The sequence below is a fragment of the Homo sapiens genome, chromosome 16 (genome assembly GCF_000001405.40).
Source record: "Homo sapiens chromosome 16, GRCh38.p14 Primary Assembly".
Lineage (NCBI taxonomy): Eukaryota > Metazoa > Chordata > Mammalia > Primates > Hominidae > Homo > Homo sapiens.
In genome coordinates, this window is record NC_000016.10 from 49,463,932 (window position 1) to 49,477,929 (window position 13,998).

The following is a 13,998-nucleotide window of genomic DNA, read 5'->3' on the forward strand; positions in this document are numbered from 1 at the left end:
GTAGCTTGCAACAGATGAGCAGATGAGTTCTAGAAAGGGAAAAAATCAGCTGAATGTGGTGGTGGGCACCTATAACCCCAGCTACTCGGGAGTCCAAGGCAGGAGAATCGCTTGAACCCAGGAGGTGGAGGTTGCAGTGAGCCAAGATCGTGCCATTGCACTCCAGCCTGGGTGACAGAATGAGACTCCATCTCAAAAAAGGAAAAAAAAAAAAAAAAAAAGATTTAGAAGTCAAGGGGAAAGTTCCAGGCAACGAACCTCAATCCTAGGGGACAGGCCAGCAGGATCTCAGCCCTCTGTCACTGCCTGTGCAGCCTGGGAGATCCCCTGACCTCCCTGTGCCTTGGTTTTCCATTCTGTAGAAGGTGGGGGTGGGGGCTGGCACATAAGTAGGGTAAGTCCCTGGGAATGCTCTGGCCCTGGGATTGGATGGGGTGTGGCAGGTGTCATATAATTAAAAATTAGCATTCTATTGAACCAGGTGAAACTGACTTTCTTGTGGATGAAAAACGGTCAAATATAGGCAATTTCATATGGTTCAACCTACACAATAATTCTAATAATCGGGCTTTGTAGGGACCGTGATAATAGCGTTGAGCCATACAGTAGATCCATTTAGTACAAAGAAATGAGGGGCTGGGTAAAAGGATCCCTGAGTTCTCTTTCAGACCTGTCTATTTTGGGGTGTCGAGAGTTTGCCCTGAGTGGCACAAAACAAATCACCCTCTCAACCTGAGCCAAGCAAAGAAGGTTCACCTGCCCCATTTGGTCCACAGGGCCAAATGCTTGGGACCCCGAACTCCCACCCCACTCACCTCGCATAGGAGCAAAGATTCTGGTGTGGAGTGGAGCAAGAAGGGCGGAGAAACGCCTAAAACGGGGAGGGGAAGAAAGGAAGAGCAAATACACAGAGCAGGACACACAGAGCCACACAGGGACACAGGCAGGGACTCTCACAGGGACACACCCACACACTTGTCAGTTCATTGCTGAAGCACATAGAGTGTTCAGAAAAGAGGGGGGAATGAGACACAGTCAGGTGAAGAGCGCCGGAAACGCTGAGAGGCCCCGGGGCCCAGTAGGGGGCGCTGTGACGAGCGCCCGGTGAGGGTGAGGGTGAGGGCTGCCAGCGAGGTGGGCGCGGGCGAGGTGGGCATGGGCTGCGGGGAGGCGGAGAGGGCTGAAAAGCCCCGGGGCAGCCTGAGCGCGGGGTTCCCTCGGCTGCGGGCTGGGAGTCTGGTCTGGGCCCGCACTGTTGTCCCGGGTTCTGACACCGTAGGCTGAGCCAGACCCCGGAGACCCTGGGTTGCGGGGGAGGTGAGGCCGGACCCAGGAGTGGCGACCGGCGGGGCTGTGGCTGGTCCCTTAACGATGATGGCCACCTCACAACTGGGCCTTGTTAGAAGAAAAAATCTCCGGGATGTGAGGGCCCCGGCGGCCTCTGTGCGCTTCCCTGCACCCGGCTGTGTGAGGTGGGGAGAGCTGGGATCCACCTACAAGGAGCAGAGGCGCCAGACAGCAGCACGAGGGTCCCGCTGCAGGCGGCTGTGCACACGGCAGCCGAGAAACTCCTCTCCCCTCTTCAGGGAGTCCCCAGCTCTTAGCTCCATTTTACGTGCAATTACTGGAAGAGCCCACATCGGCCAGGAGCCCCACCTCCCAACCTCAGGGGATAGTTCAGGGGTGTGCAGCACCCCAGGGAGGACAATCGGGGTTCTTCACTCCAATCTGTGTTGAGAGGTTGGGAGCTGAACTGCGGGTTGTTGGCAGCGGGTGTTTTCTGCTGCATCAACTAAGAAGTAGAAAAGTCTGATCATCAGAGAGAGAGGAGCAAGGGCAGGAGATAGAGAGACTTCCAACAGGGTCTGCGCGCCTAACTCTTGTTCTTGAGATCAACACAGTCCTGCTTTCAGCCTCCGCCAGTCACCACAGGGCCTTTGAGCCAAACCCTGTTTTTGTTTGAGCTGGTTTGAGTTCTGTCATTTGCATCCCAAACAGCACTGATGACTACACAATACACACACAGACACATAGTAAAGTAAAACAAGAAAGGACAAATGTGAATGAGTTTTCATGGGAAGAGCTCTGAGGACCCTAGCTTCGCCACCTCCCTGCTTTGTGACGTTAGGCAACTTCATAACCTCTCTGAACCCCTGTTCCCTTGCCCGTGACATAAGAACAATAACATCTCTTTTGCAGGATCATGCAATGCCCTCCGGCCAAAGGCTACCAGGAACACACCTTTCGGTTGAACAAAGTTGGCTTTTTGAGTCACTGCACTGGAGGGGAATGCGCACCCCTGGATGTCTCGGGGAGGGGATGTTAGTAGGACTGATCATGGGATTTGGGCTCGCATTAAGTGATTTTGCAGGCTGTTTCTCTAGGCTGGATGCTGTCAGGAAGCAAGGGTAATTCTGTGATTGGGTATGTCAATGATTCTCTTCTAGACGGCAGGAGGAACTGAGCAAAGCTACAACTGCAATTAGTTAAGAAACATTTGAGCCAGGAAGGGGAACATTTGGGCAGTTTTGTCATTTGGACGATGTTCACGTTTTCGTCTGCGTTCAGGCAGGACTACAGAATGGTCTCGTCTTTGTTTTGATCCTTCATGGTTACCGAGCGGTCTTGTCTGATGTTTCTGGGCTGTAGAACTGTTCATGTCCAACAGAACACCATGGCCTGGCTGTGAATGCCAGGCCAGCCCAGGCTGTCAGAGGGCTTTCCCCTTTCTCAGTTGTTATGAGGATAACGTGCCCACACTTGGCAAACCATAGGCAATATTTCAGCTATGCTGGAGCAGTGATGATCTGGAGGTTGATACATTATGTGGCAGAGGCTGCCCGCACCACAGAGGCTCAGAGAAGGTTGAAGTTGCACAGGGATGCTTCCAGCAGCAGTGTTTAAGCTGGGTTTTTAAGGATGAATAGAAGTTGCAAGAGGAGGAAGGATGACTCCAAATAAATCAGAGCAGAGGCCTGATTAGCCCACTTTGGTGGGTTGTCATGGTGCCTCTCTGCCAAGAGGCAGTAGTCCCCCATAGTTGACCAGGGGTCCCCCATCCCCACTTCAGGCAACAGGATCTGGACTGCACCAGGAGGAACACATGACTGTGCCAGTCAGCACATCACATCCCCATGGCCCATGGCTGTTTAGGGCAGGCGTATGACTGACTTGTCCAATAAGATAAGATCTCAAAACAAATCACCCTCTCCACCTGAGCCAAGCAAAGAGGGTTCACCTGCCCCATTTGGTCCACAGGGCTGTTTCAAGGCCCTGTTCTCAGCCTCCTGTTCAGGATCAAGTTTCACAAATGGATCCTTCTCCTATGTCAGGCCTTCCTGACTTCTCCCCCTCTTGGCTACTCATGCTAATTCCATGTCTGTGGTAGAAGAAGCCCCACACAGGCACTTACGGGGCTTCTACTGGATGCATCCTCATAGCCATCTGCAGGGGAGGAAGGAGCATCCCCATTTTATGGATAAAGAATTGGCTCACAGGTCCAAGGTCCCATCGCCGTTAAGTGGTGAGGCCACATGTAGCTGATTTCAGAGATTTGCTCACTATGCCAGGCTCCTCTCGAATGCTGGCTTCTGGTCAAGTAAATTAGTCCACAAAAGTTATCCACAGACAGTTATTGAGCACATATGATTGCACCCAGCTTTGGGTCAGCCTCTGACACAACTCCTTGGAGAAGGGGCATCCTAGGATTAAGAAACCAGCTCCCCCTACATAGGACCACCCGTCAGCATAACAAAGACGCCGGGTCTGGGGTGCCAATAGCAATGGAATGGGAGCTTCACTAAGGACAAACAGCAGCATCTGCTTTACAGCGGTGGGCCCGAAGATCAGGCAGGAAAGGAGAAAGGAGAAAGAAGGTGAAGTCTCTTGAATAATAGGAAACCACTCCCTTGAGAGTCTGGACCTGACTCCTGGCTTTGGGGTCAGGCAGACGTGGGTCCCTACATATCCTTTCCTAGCTGTGTGACTTTGCCTGCCTGAGCCTCAGTTCCTCTAACTGTAGAGTAAGGATAATAATGGTGCCCTTTCCTCTGGCTATTGGATGGCTATTCTAAGCTGCTCGACTCATTCCCCCTCCCAGTCCTAGAGCCTAGCATCTGGGCTGGCATTAACCTTCCAGGAGCTGATGATGCACCCTGCTGACACCAGGGTGCCTGATGGACCGGGCTGCTGCTCGAGGAGGGAGTTGCTGGCTGTTTCCTCCTTTGACTCCCACTGGACCCATGAACTTGGGCCTTAGGTTGAGCTGATGGGGGAAGGACACGAGGCAAGGACTGAGCTTGTAGTCAGGCTCCTGGGAGCCCGCTGGCCCCAGGAACTGACCATGCAGGCCCCAGGCCCCATGCTCTTTGTAACTTCCTCTCACTATCCAGGACCACATGAATGGAAGTGCCAGGAAGACAGGGCTTTCGATTGCTTGGTTCATTGATCCATCCCAGCACCTGGAACAGGGTCTGACAAAGATGAGGTGCTCTGTACACATTTGTTGAATGAATGAATGAGCCTCATCCTGGCGGAAAGGGGGCTGTTTGGTAAGGTAAAGAAATAGAGATGTTGTTAGCCTACTGCACATAGGAGTTTTCCTAGGAGAGGCCATTGACAAGGTTTGTTTGTTTTTCTTACATGAAGAACTTGAAATTGCTAAAGCCAGGTGCTCAAAAACAAATGCCTTCAGAGGCCAGGCAGGTGATGGAAATGTGGATGGGCAAAGGTGTTGACCAAGAGGGATGTGTGGGGACTATGGGCAAACAGAGAGGGCTTTTTGCACCTAAAGACCTTCAAACTGCAAAAACTAAGCACCACTTCTACAGCCAACAAGAGGCCATCTGAGGGCCATGTCCATCTGAAGGCCTATCCCACTCAGGGCCTCCCAGGCATGGTTCCTGAATCCTGTCTCCCTCCTAGCCTAGCGAGAGGCCTGCCAGAGTACTGCCTTCATGTGCAGGATGGGGACATCCAGGCCCCAGGTCACAGCTCCAGCTCCATCTGCATCCTTCATGCTCCCTAAGAGCCTGGCAGCCCAACTCTTCAGAGGAAGCAGTCCTTCCCTACTGCTGTTGCTGCCTTCATGGCCTCAGCTGGGTCCCTGGGGCTGGCACCTGGCAACCTTATACCCCCGGGGCCAACACCCAGGCCTGCACATGTGTGCACAGACACAGGACATGCCTGCGTGCACCCAAGCACCTGCCCCCAAAGGCATACTCAGGTGCTTTTGGGCACCTTCTGCTCTATTCATAGATCCCCTTCTCCAGGAAGTCCTCCCTGACTATACTCCCTCACACTGCATGCTAGATCTGCCCCTCCTCTCTCCAGGCCTTCATCATACCTCACAGTGACCTGTGGCATCCCCTCCCCTGGGAACAGTGGCTCTGGTGGGGAGGAACTGTATATGACTCACTTCTGTGCCCCCCAGCACGGGCTTGGCACAGAGCAGGTGCCTGCAAGTGTTTTCTGAGTGCACAGGAGAAAGTTAAGAAGCATCACAGATATTAGGCTTCCTCAGTTCAAATCCCTATACGGCTACCTACTTGCTGTATGACTTGAGCAGGTAGCTCAAACCTCTCTGTCCTCAGTTTCCCCACGTGTGATATAGGGATAATAATAGTGTCGGCTGGACACGGTGGCTGACACCTATAATCTCAGCACTTTGGGAGGCCAAGGTGGGAGGACCACCTGAGGTCAAGAGTTCGAGACCAGCCTAGCTAACATGGCAAAACCCCATTGCTACTAAAAATACAAAAATTACCCGGGCTTGGTGGAGTGCACCTGTAATCCCAGCTACTCTGGAGGCTAAGGCAGGAGAATTGCTTGAACCTGGGAGGCAGAGGTTGCAGGGAACCTAGATCGTGCCATTGCACTCCAGTCTGGGAGACAAGAGCAAGACGCTGTCTCAATAAATAAATAAATAAATAAATAAATAAATAAATAAAAAATAATAGTGCCTAATTCACCAGTCTGGTGAGCATTCAGGGTTTGTGCAGCTGGTCTGGACACACAGCTCTATGCGCGAGTGTTTGCCACCATTGCCGCATTGGTTCCAGGTGGGCGTGGGAGGATTCAGTACAATCAGAAAGTATTCCTGTGGCCTTTGCAGAGAGACACCCCAGCAGAGGGGCTAGACAGCAACCTCCCAGATGTCCTGGCCCAGCAGCTGGGCTCCCTTAGACTCAGTATTGACTCCTGCTTGTCATGGGGCACGTGGCCTCTTCCCTGAGCAGCACCATGTGGCGGGGATGGGCAGGCCTCGCAGGTGGAATTGATTTTGAAATCTTGTCTCTTACACAGGAAAAGGTCATGTTTGCAGGAGGGTGTCCCGAGGCCTCTTTCCAGCAGGGCGCCCTGTCTGAGCCACGGGACTTCCATTAACATTAATGGGGGGCTCTGGGCGGAGGGCTTCGGCTGGGGGTGCCTGGGGGCCCGGGGTTGTGTGGCAAACATGAAAATCATTCCTGATGAAGCTGCTTAGAGAGTTGGTCTGCAGGGCAGGGGGGCTATGAGGGCAATTCCAGCCTTGTCTGCCTGAGTTTGCCAAGAGCAGGTGGCACTGTGATGTGGGGAGACCCTGGTAGTCCCCTCAGCACTGGGGTCCCCAAAAAGGCTGGAGCAGAAGGCTCTCCCTCCTCAGACTCTCAGGCAGGGCTGCATCCAGCTGCCTGCTGGATCCTGCCAAAAAAGAAAAAAGAAGCAGTGGTCCTGCCCTGGGAGTGGGGCACAGCTTCTGCACCCTCTGTATCAGCCTTTGCTCTCACTGGGACAGGCCTGGGAGAGGAGGCTCCTGGGAGACAGGGGTTTGGACCAGCCCTCAAGGCCCCTGAGGCTAAAGCCTCAGATTTCAGATCCCTCAGCTCTGCCCAAATTCTCACCACTGAAGACTTCATGGCCCCCTCTGGCTGTCCACTGGGAATGGAACCAACACTTCAGAATCATGCCCTGCAGGGACCTCAGAGCTGATTCCAAAGCCATGAACTGTTCGCAGGCTGGATCCGATCTGTCACTGAGTTTTGAGTAGCCAGAGCGGAGTGTTTTTAATGCCATTTTTAAATTAGCTGCCAACATTTCAAAGTTGGAGGATTTCACGTTTTAAAAGATAGAGGTTTGTAGCTTGGCTTGAAATATTAGAAGCGCTGGCTACTCCAGGCTGGCATTCCCATGTCACCAGCCAGCTGCCTGCTACAGACCTGCCTTGTCGCCCACAGTCCCCACCACTCCTTATCACCTCCCTCACAGGCATTGAGTGTAGGGCGCATTTGTCATCATGGTTGTACCTGGTTCACCTCATTCGTTCTTATTGCCTGAAGCCATGGGTGTTGGAATTCATGACCCTGGCTTGCTGCAGTGGCTGAGGGCCAGAAAAGCCAGGCCATTTGCACCTTAGAGCTTTTGCACTTGCTGTTCCCTTCACCTGTGTTTTGTTTTAATAGAGATAGGGGGTCTCCCTTTGTTGCTTAGGCTGGTTTTGAACTCCCAGCCTCAAGCGATCCTCCCATCTCGGCCTCCCAAAGTGCTAGGATAACAGGCCTGAGCCACCGCACCCGGCCATTCCCTCCACTCAGAATGCTCTTCTCCTGGATGGCCACATAGTTCGCTGCACATTTCATTCAGATTTCTTCTCAAATGTCCTAGAAGCTGTTCCTGCCCACACCCATTATTTCCCCTTCCAGCTTACCCTGCCTCGTCCTTCTCCAAAGCACTAATTTCCTCCTGGCATAGAACACATTCATCCATTTATTCGCCCCTTGTCTCCAGTCCACCCCAATGGAATAGCTCCAATAGAATATCAGCTCCCTGAGAACTGTAACTTTGTGTATTTTATTCATTGTCTTGTCCTCAGCCCCTGGGTAGGACTTGGCACACAGCAGTGTTCAATGCATACTTTTGAATGAATGAAAGGGGAAAAAGGAAGGATGTGAGGCTCTAGACAATGAGGGAGCCTTGAATGTCAGTCTAAGGAGCAGGAATGGAACCTTTCCATGAGCTATGGGCAGGAGAGGAATGGGTCAGATTTGCTTTCCTGACAATTTCTCTGGGAACAGCATTCCAGGCAGTTCTGTGGCCCCTTCAGGCACCTCATTTCCACATCAGCCTCATGATCTATATAACAGGCAGCCACCATGTGGTCAGCAATCTAGGGGGATGGGTGCACCAGCCATGGCTTCTGCCCTTAGGGAGCTTTCATTTAATTGGGCAGAGAATAGAGCACAGGATAAAACAGGGAGAGGGAGGGAAGAGAGGGAGAGGGAGCACATTCCCACCAGCCTGTAATCTCTTTGGGGCAAGGTCCCCCACATCATTCAACAAATATTTATTGAGCACCTATTATGTGCCAGGCCCCTGCCCTTAGAGTTCAGTATGATAATAGAGATAGGCATTTGTCCACTGAACACACACATTCTAAGCCAAAGAGGGCTTGGAAGGAAAGGAGAGAGGCTTTGCAGGCCTCTAGCTTGCTCTTCATTCATTGAACACACAGTAGGTGCTCATATCTATTTTCCAAATGAATTGGTGAATGAATGCAGGTTCTCTTGGGGACTAGCTCAGAGAACAAGGGACCTTGGGGATCTGCAGGGACAGTGCTCGAAGACAGGAGGGGAGGAAGATGGAGGACTAGGGAGGACTATTACCCCAGAATCAAGGGTTTGCTCTTCCCTACATGTGACCCCACACTAGGCACTGGGCGCTGGGCAGGACTCTCCTTAGGAGAAGAAGGGGACCTCCTTCTCCTTTCTCAGGAAAGCGAGCTGCCCCTACCCCACCCTGGATGGGCTGGGCACCACTTGGTCTGCCATTTTGATGCTCGCGGCGGGACCAGGATGCTGTAAACACCCATACGCGACTCTCCTGCAGGGTCTCCGGGTTGCCAGCAATCACGGCCATCTGCTCATATGGCACTGCGCCCAAGCCCCTCACCCAGGGAGCCGTGCCAGGCAGCGATTGGTTCTGAGGCATGCCCCTCAAACTGGTGGGGAGCGTCCTCTTCTGAGAGGCCCCTAGGGGAGTAGGGGAACAAAAGACAGATTTCCCTTTCCTAGGAAAAAAAAAAGATCAATTTCACTTAAGACTCAGCACAAAATGAGGAGTGGAGGAAGAACCAGAGAAGAGTGTCTATGGGGTCCTGAATATTCAGGAGCTGCCTTTGCATAGCTCAGAGTCTGGGGTGATGGGGGAGGCAACCAGGGCACGCTCCATGTTTAAAACATCCTTCGAAAGTCATGGTTTCTTCTCAGAGGCGCCCCCTTCTCCAGCCATCCCTGGTGGCTCGGCCTCTGCAGGAGACCAGGGGAGGGGAGCCAGGAGGCCTCTTCCCATGAGAAGCTGCAAAGAGTACTGGCCTGGGAACCCACCCAGCTGGACTATGCAACAGTGACATGGCTTTGCACAGTCCACTGGCTTCTGTAAGCCCCTCATAAGACAGAGTGACAGGATGGTTTTGGGGATTACATGGGACAGGAGGCAAAGTGGCATGTCTCTCTGAAGCAATGAAAGGCCCAGCAGTGGTGTGGCTCGGTGCTATGCATGTCCCTTGCATGCGTGCACACAGTTGTGCATGTCTAGTGAGCATGCTTTTCTACATGTGATGTGCTGGAATCCAGCTGTGTCTCCGTGGGCATGCATGTACTTGACCATCTTTCCAGGTGGGTCCTTTTGGGTTTGCATGTGAGAATCCAGGAGCCTATCTGGTATGTTCTGGCTCTTGCCCATATTTGTGCCCATGGGTACATGGAGGTTTGAGCATGCACCAGTGTGTGTGCACACAAAGGGTTCATGCTCTGGGCTTACCCGCCTCTGGGAGCCCCAGTGACAATGGCAGATAGGGGAAGGGGGAGCTGGCTTCAAGTGAGGTCCTGGACTCCGAGTTCTTTTCCAGCCACTCTGCCTCCAAGGTGGCCCCTCCTGGAACAGGCAGAGGCCACATCACCTCCCTGGTGGCTTATCCTCAGCACACCCTGCCTACTGCCCAGCTGGCATATTCCAGAGGCTGGCACTCATTTCATAAATCCACACCAGAAAGAGGCTGGCCATGGTGAAATCACCCTGGGCACCCCAGCTCCACACTGTGCTGTCTACACCAGGCCCTCACTACCAGGACAAGCAACCTACATCCCTTCCAGGCGACAGACACAAAGGGGTCCGACTGTGTTGACCCTGTCTCTGCGCTCCCTGGAGCAGGCTGGAGATGGGAGGAGAGCTATGGCTCAAGGGCCGGAAAGGAGGTCAGAACAAGAAGGGCAGAGAAGAGGAGGCCAAGCTGTTCACTGCATACGGCACCCAACAGTTTATCAGTTTCCTTCCCCTGCAGTGGACTATTTCATTCTCTGCCCTGCCAGGCCAGAATGTTAATCAACCCCACTGCACAGGTGAGGAAATTGGGGCTCCAAGAGGGGACGGATGCTGTTTTAAGGGCTTACTTAATCCACTCAACAATCCCATGAGGTGAGTATCAGTATTATCACATTTTACCCATTGAGACACTGAGGCCCTCAGAGGTGAATTAATTCACTGCAAGTCACATAGTGAACTTGGTGCGGGTGGTTCGTGACCACCACCCTGGGCTGCCTCCCACAGAGGCTAAGGGAGTTTGCAAACTCATTTAAAAGAACAGAGGAGGAGATAGAACCAACTTCTTGCCTCTTCTTCCCAGGTGAGGTGTGAAAGGCGCCTGTTCTGCTGGACAGAAAAGTTCCCAGCATCCAGATGCCACCTCTGCCTGTGAGCTCCAGGTGGGAATCACTCCCAGTAAGAGCAGGAGGTGAGTGGCAGCTCAGCCCCAGGACCAGCCAGGGCTTTCTGGGCACTCATTCCCCTGGGAACCTGCATCCTTCCCAGCCTGTTAGAAGGGGCAGCTCTGACAGCTGCTCTGCTCTTGGTGATGCTTTGGCCAGGGGTTCCTTGTCCACACAGCTCCAGAGTCTGTGGCAAGGGGGTGGCTGGAGGGGATGAAGGGGCAAGGAGGGTGCCAGACTGGGATGGGCATCCAGTCCCACATCCGCCAGCCCTCCACAGCTGCCTCTGCCTACACTGAGCACGCTGGATTATTCAATGTAACATTTAATTACACTGACAGTCTAACGAACACAAGGAAAGTCAGATGTGGAACTCGCGCCCCCCGCTGAGCCTCCTGGAAACCGTGGGGGAGGCAGGGTTGCTCCATATGCCGCTATGTGGGTGTGCGCGGGTGTGTGCACGTGTATGCATGTGTGTTCGTGCAGCCTGTCTCTGTGTGTACCTGTGTGTGTCCAGGCGGGCAGCTCATGCATATCTGCCTGGTGTGTGCTCGTGTGTGTGTCTGCTGTGTATGAGTGTGCACCCCTCTGTAGTCCGTGCAATGTGTGTCTATCTGCTGTGTGTGCGCCTCTCTGTTGTCTGTGTGGTGTGTGTGTGTCTCTGCTGTGAATGTACACCTCTCTGTTGTCAGTGCTGTGTGTGTACTTCTCTGTTGTCTGTGTGGCGTGTGTGTGTTTCTCTTCTGTGAGTGTGTACCTCTCTGTTGCCCATGCAGTGAGTGTGTATATCATGTGTGTGTCACTTGCTGTGTGTGTGTATGCCTCTCTCTTGTCCGTATGGAGTGTATATGTGTGTGTGTGTGTCTATCTTCTCTGTGCTCGGGCACCTCTCCGTTGTCTGTGCAGCGTGTGTGCGTGTCTACCTGCTGTGTGTGTTCCTCTCTGTTGTCTGTGTGGCATGTGTGTGTCTATCTCTGCATGTGTGTGCACCTCTCTGTGTGTGTATGATGTGTGTGTAGGTATTCATGTCTGTGGTACAGCTCCAGGCTATTATGTGCGTGCGTGTCTGGCTGTGTCTGGGCTGTGTGTCTGTGTGGGCCTGGATGTGTCTCTCCACATGTGCCTCTGTGTGCCTGCCCATCTTTGTCATGGCTGCTAAAAGCAATTTTGCTTCTAGTGACAAGTAATGTTTTTCAGACCCCAGTAAGAGTGGACTGGTTGAAATTCCTCTGGCATTCGTACTGCTGTATGACACAGTTCAGCAGGCCCTCTTGGGGACTGCCACGTCCCCAAGTATTAATAATTCCACTTGCTCCATCTTCTTTTGCCAGGGACCAGGTAAAAGTGGGCACCTCTTCCTCTCTCCTCCCTTCCCTCCCCATCTCTTCCTTCAGGACTTCTCCCTTGGCCAGGCCTAGACCTAGGTGGCCCTCTGGGTGGTCTTTTTTTCTATGTGCCCCTTTCCAGAATGTCACGTTGGGCCCTGAACTCCTCTACTGACTTCGTGCTCAGAATCAGATCAGCAGAGACTGAGTTCTGCAGGTGTCTTCCCTGGTGTGTGACCTTGGAGGAGTCACTTGACCTCTCTGAGCCTGCCTTCCTGCATGGCAGGGAGCTCCAAAGCAGATAACATGTATAAAGTGTGTTGTGTGCTATGGTGCAGTTAGGGGAGTGCCCTTACAATGGGAATGAACCAAGCTGGATCCTTATCCTGAGGGAAGAATGATGGATCCACAGGAGGACATCCCTCAGCCCTTACCACGGCTGTCCCTGTTGGGACAAGAGCTGCTGGCAGGGAGAAGGGTGCATATTCTCACATGCTGGCCTCTTTTCTGATCTCAGGGAATAAGCCTGAAAGATAGCAGTCACAAGGTGCCATCTCCTAGACATAGGGTGAGGCTGCACCAAGACTCATCAAGAATTTTCCAGAGATCTGTGCAACACTCTGACAGAAACTGAGGCAGTCTACTTGCTGCAGGGCTTGATGCATGCTCTCCCTGGTCAGTCCCAGTCCAACTCCCTCCACCATTTTTCTCTTCTTTTTTCACCAAAATCTTCTACCCCAAGAATCAAATTACTAAGTGAAATTCAATCTGCTCAGTTACAAATCCATGAAGTGTTATACATACATACAAGGACCCAAAGATCTAGGCACAAAGATGTTCACTGCAGCATTGTTTACAACACATAAATGAAGTCAATCAATTATGACTCATTCAGCCAATGAGATGTATTGTGGCCATTATAATAAAACAAGATCTGGAGAGACTTCTGCTTTCAGCAAGATTGAGTAGACATATTTTCCCTACTTTTCCTGCTAAGTATAACTAAAACCCTTGGACAGTAAATATTTTTAAAAGGAGATGAAGAAGAAGAAGGAGGAGGAGGAGGGTGAGGAGGAGGAGGAGGAAGACGAGGAGGAAAGAAGGAGGAAGAAAGGAAGAAGAGAAGAAGAAAAAGGAGGAGGAGGAGGGTGAGCGGAAGGGGGAGGGGGAGGGGAAGGGGGAGAAGGAGAAGGAGGAAAGAAGGAAAAAGAAAGAGGAAGAGGAGGAGGAGGAGAAGGAGGGGAAGGAGGAGGGGGAGGAGGAGGGGAAGGAGGAGGGGGAGGAGGAGGGGAAGGAGGAGGGGGAGGAGGGGAAGGAGGAGGGGGAGGAGGGGAAGGAGGAGGGGGAGGAGGGGGAGGAGGGGAAGGAGGAGGGGGAGGAGGGGAAGGAGGAGGGAGAGGAAGAGGAGGAGAAAGAGGAAGAGGAGGAGGAAGGGAAAAGGAAGAGGGAGAAGAATAAGAAGGAGGAGGAGGAGAAAGAAGGAGGAAGAAAAGAAGAAGGAGGAGAAGGAGGAAGAGGAGGATGAGGAAAGGAGGAAGAAAGAAGGAAGAGAAGAAGAAGGAGGAGGAGGAGGAAGAGGAGGAGGAGGAAGGAAGAAGAGGAAGAAGAAGAAGGAAGAGGAGGAGGAGGGAAGAAGGAGAAGAAGAAGAAGAAGGAGAAGAAGGAGGGGGAGGATGAGGAAGAGGAGGAGGAGGAAGGAAGAACAGGAAGAAGAAGAAGAGGAAGAAGAAGAAGGAGGAGAAGGAGGAAGAGGAGGAGGAGGAAGGAAGAAGAGGAAGAAGAGGAAGAAAAGAAGAAGAGGAGGAAGAAGAGGAAGAAGAAGAAGTAGAAGAAGAAGAAGATGAAGAAGAAGAAGAAGAAGCTGCCAAAAAGTGAAGAGACAAGACTGACTAGAAACCTCCAGACCTAAGGAACAACATGATGGTGGGTTCCTT

The 13,998-nt window shown here is 52.5% G+C and overlaps 1 long non-coding RNA gene across 1 annotated transcript, besides 1 other annotated feature; it reads left to right on the forward strand.

Annotated features, from left to right (window-relative positions):
• Positions 845 to 1,346: an enhancer, noted in NCBI's record as "H3K4me1 hESC enhancer chr16:49498687-49499188 (GRCh37/hg19 assembly coordinates)". NCBI's record gives its function as "activates a minimal SCP1, AML or CMV promoter by ChIP-STARR-seq in naive H9 embryonic stem cells {active_cell/tissue: H9 hESC(naive)}" and the evidence as "EXISTENCE:reporter gene assay evidence [ECO:0000049][PMID:30033119]".
• Positions 2,175 to 5,944, forward strand: LINC02179 (long intergenic non-protein coding RNA 2179). Its single transcript, XR_243442.1, has 2 exons — positions 2,175 to 4,550; positions 4,648 to 5,944. It is a non-coding gene; the product is annotated as a long intergenic non-protein coding RNA 2179 (long non-coding RNA).
• Positions 5,945 to 13,998: the final 8,054 nt, after the last annotated feature.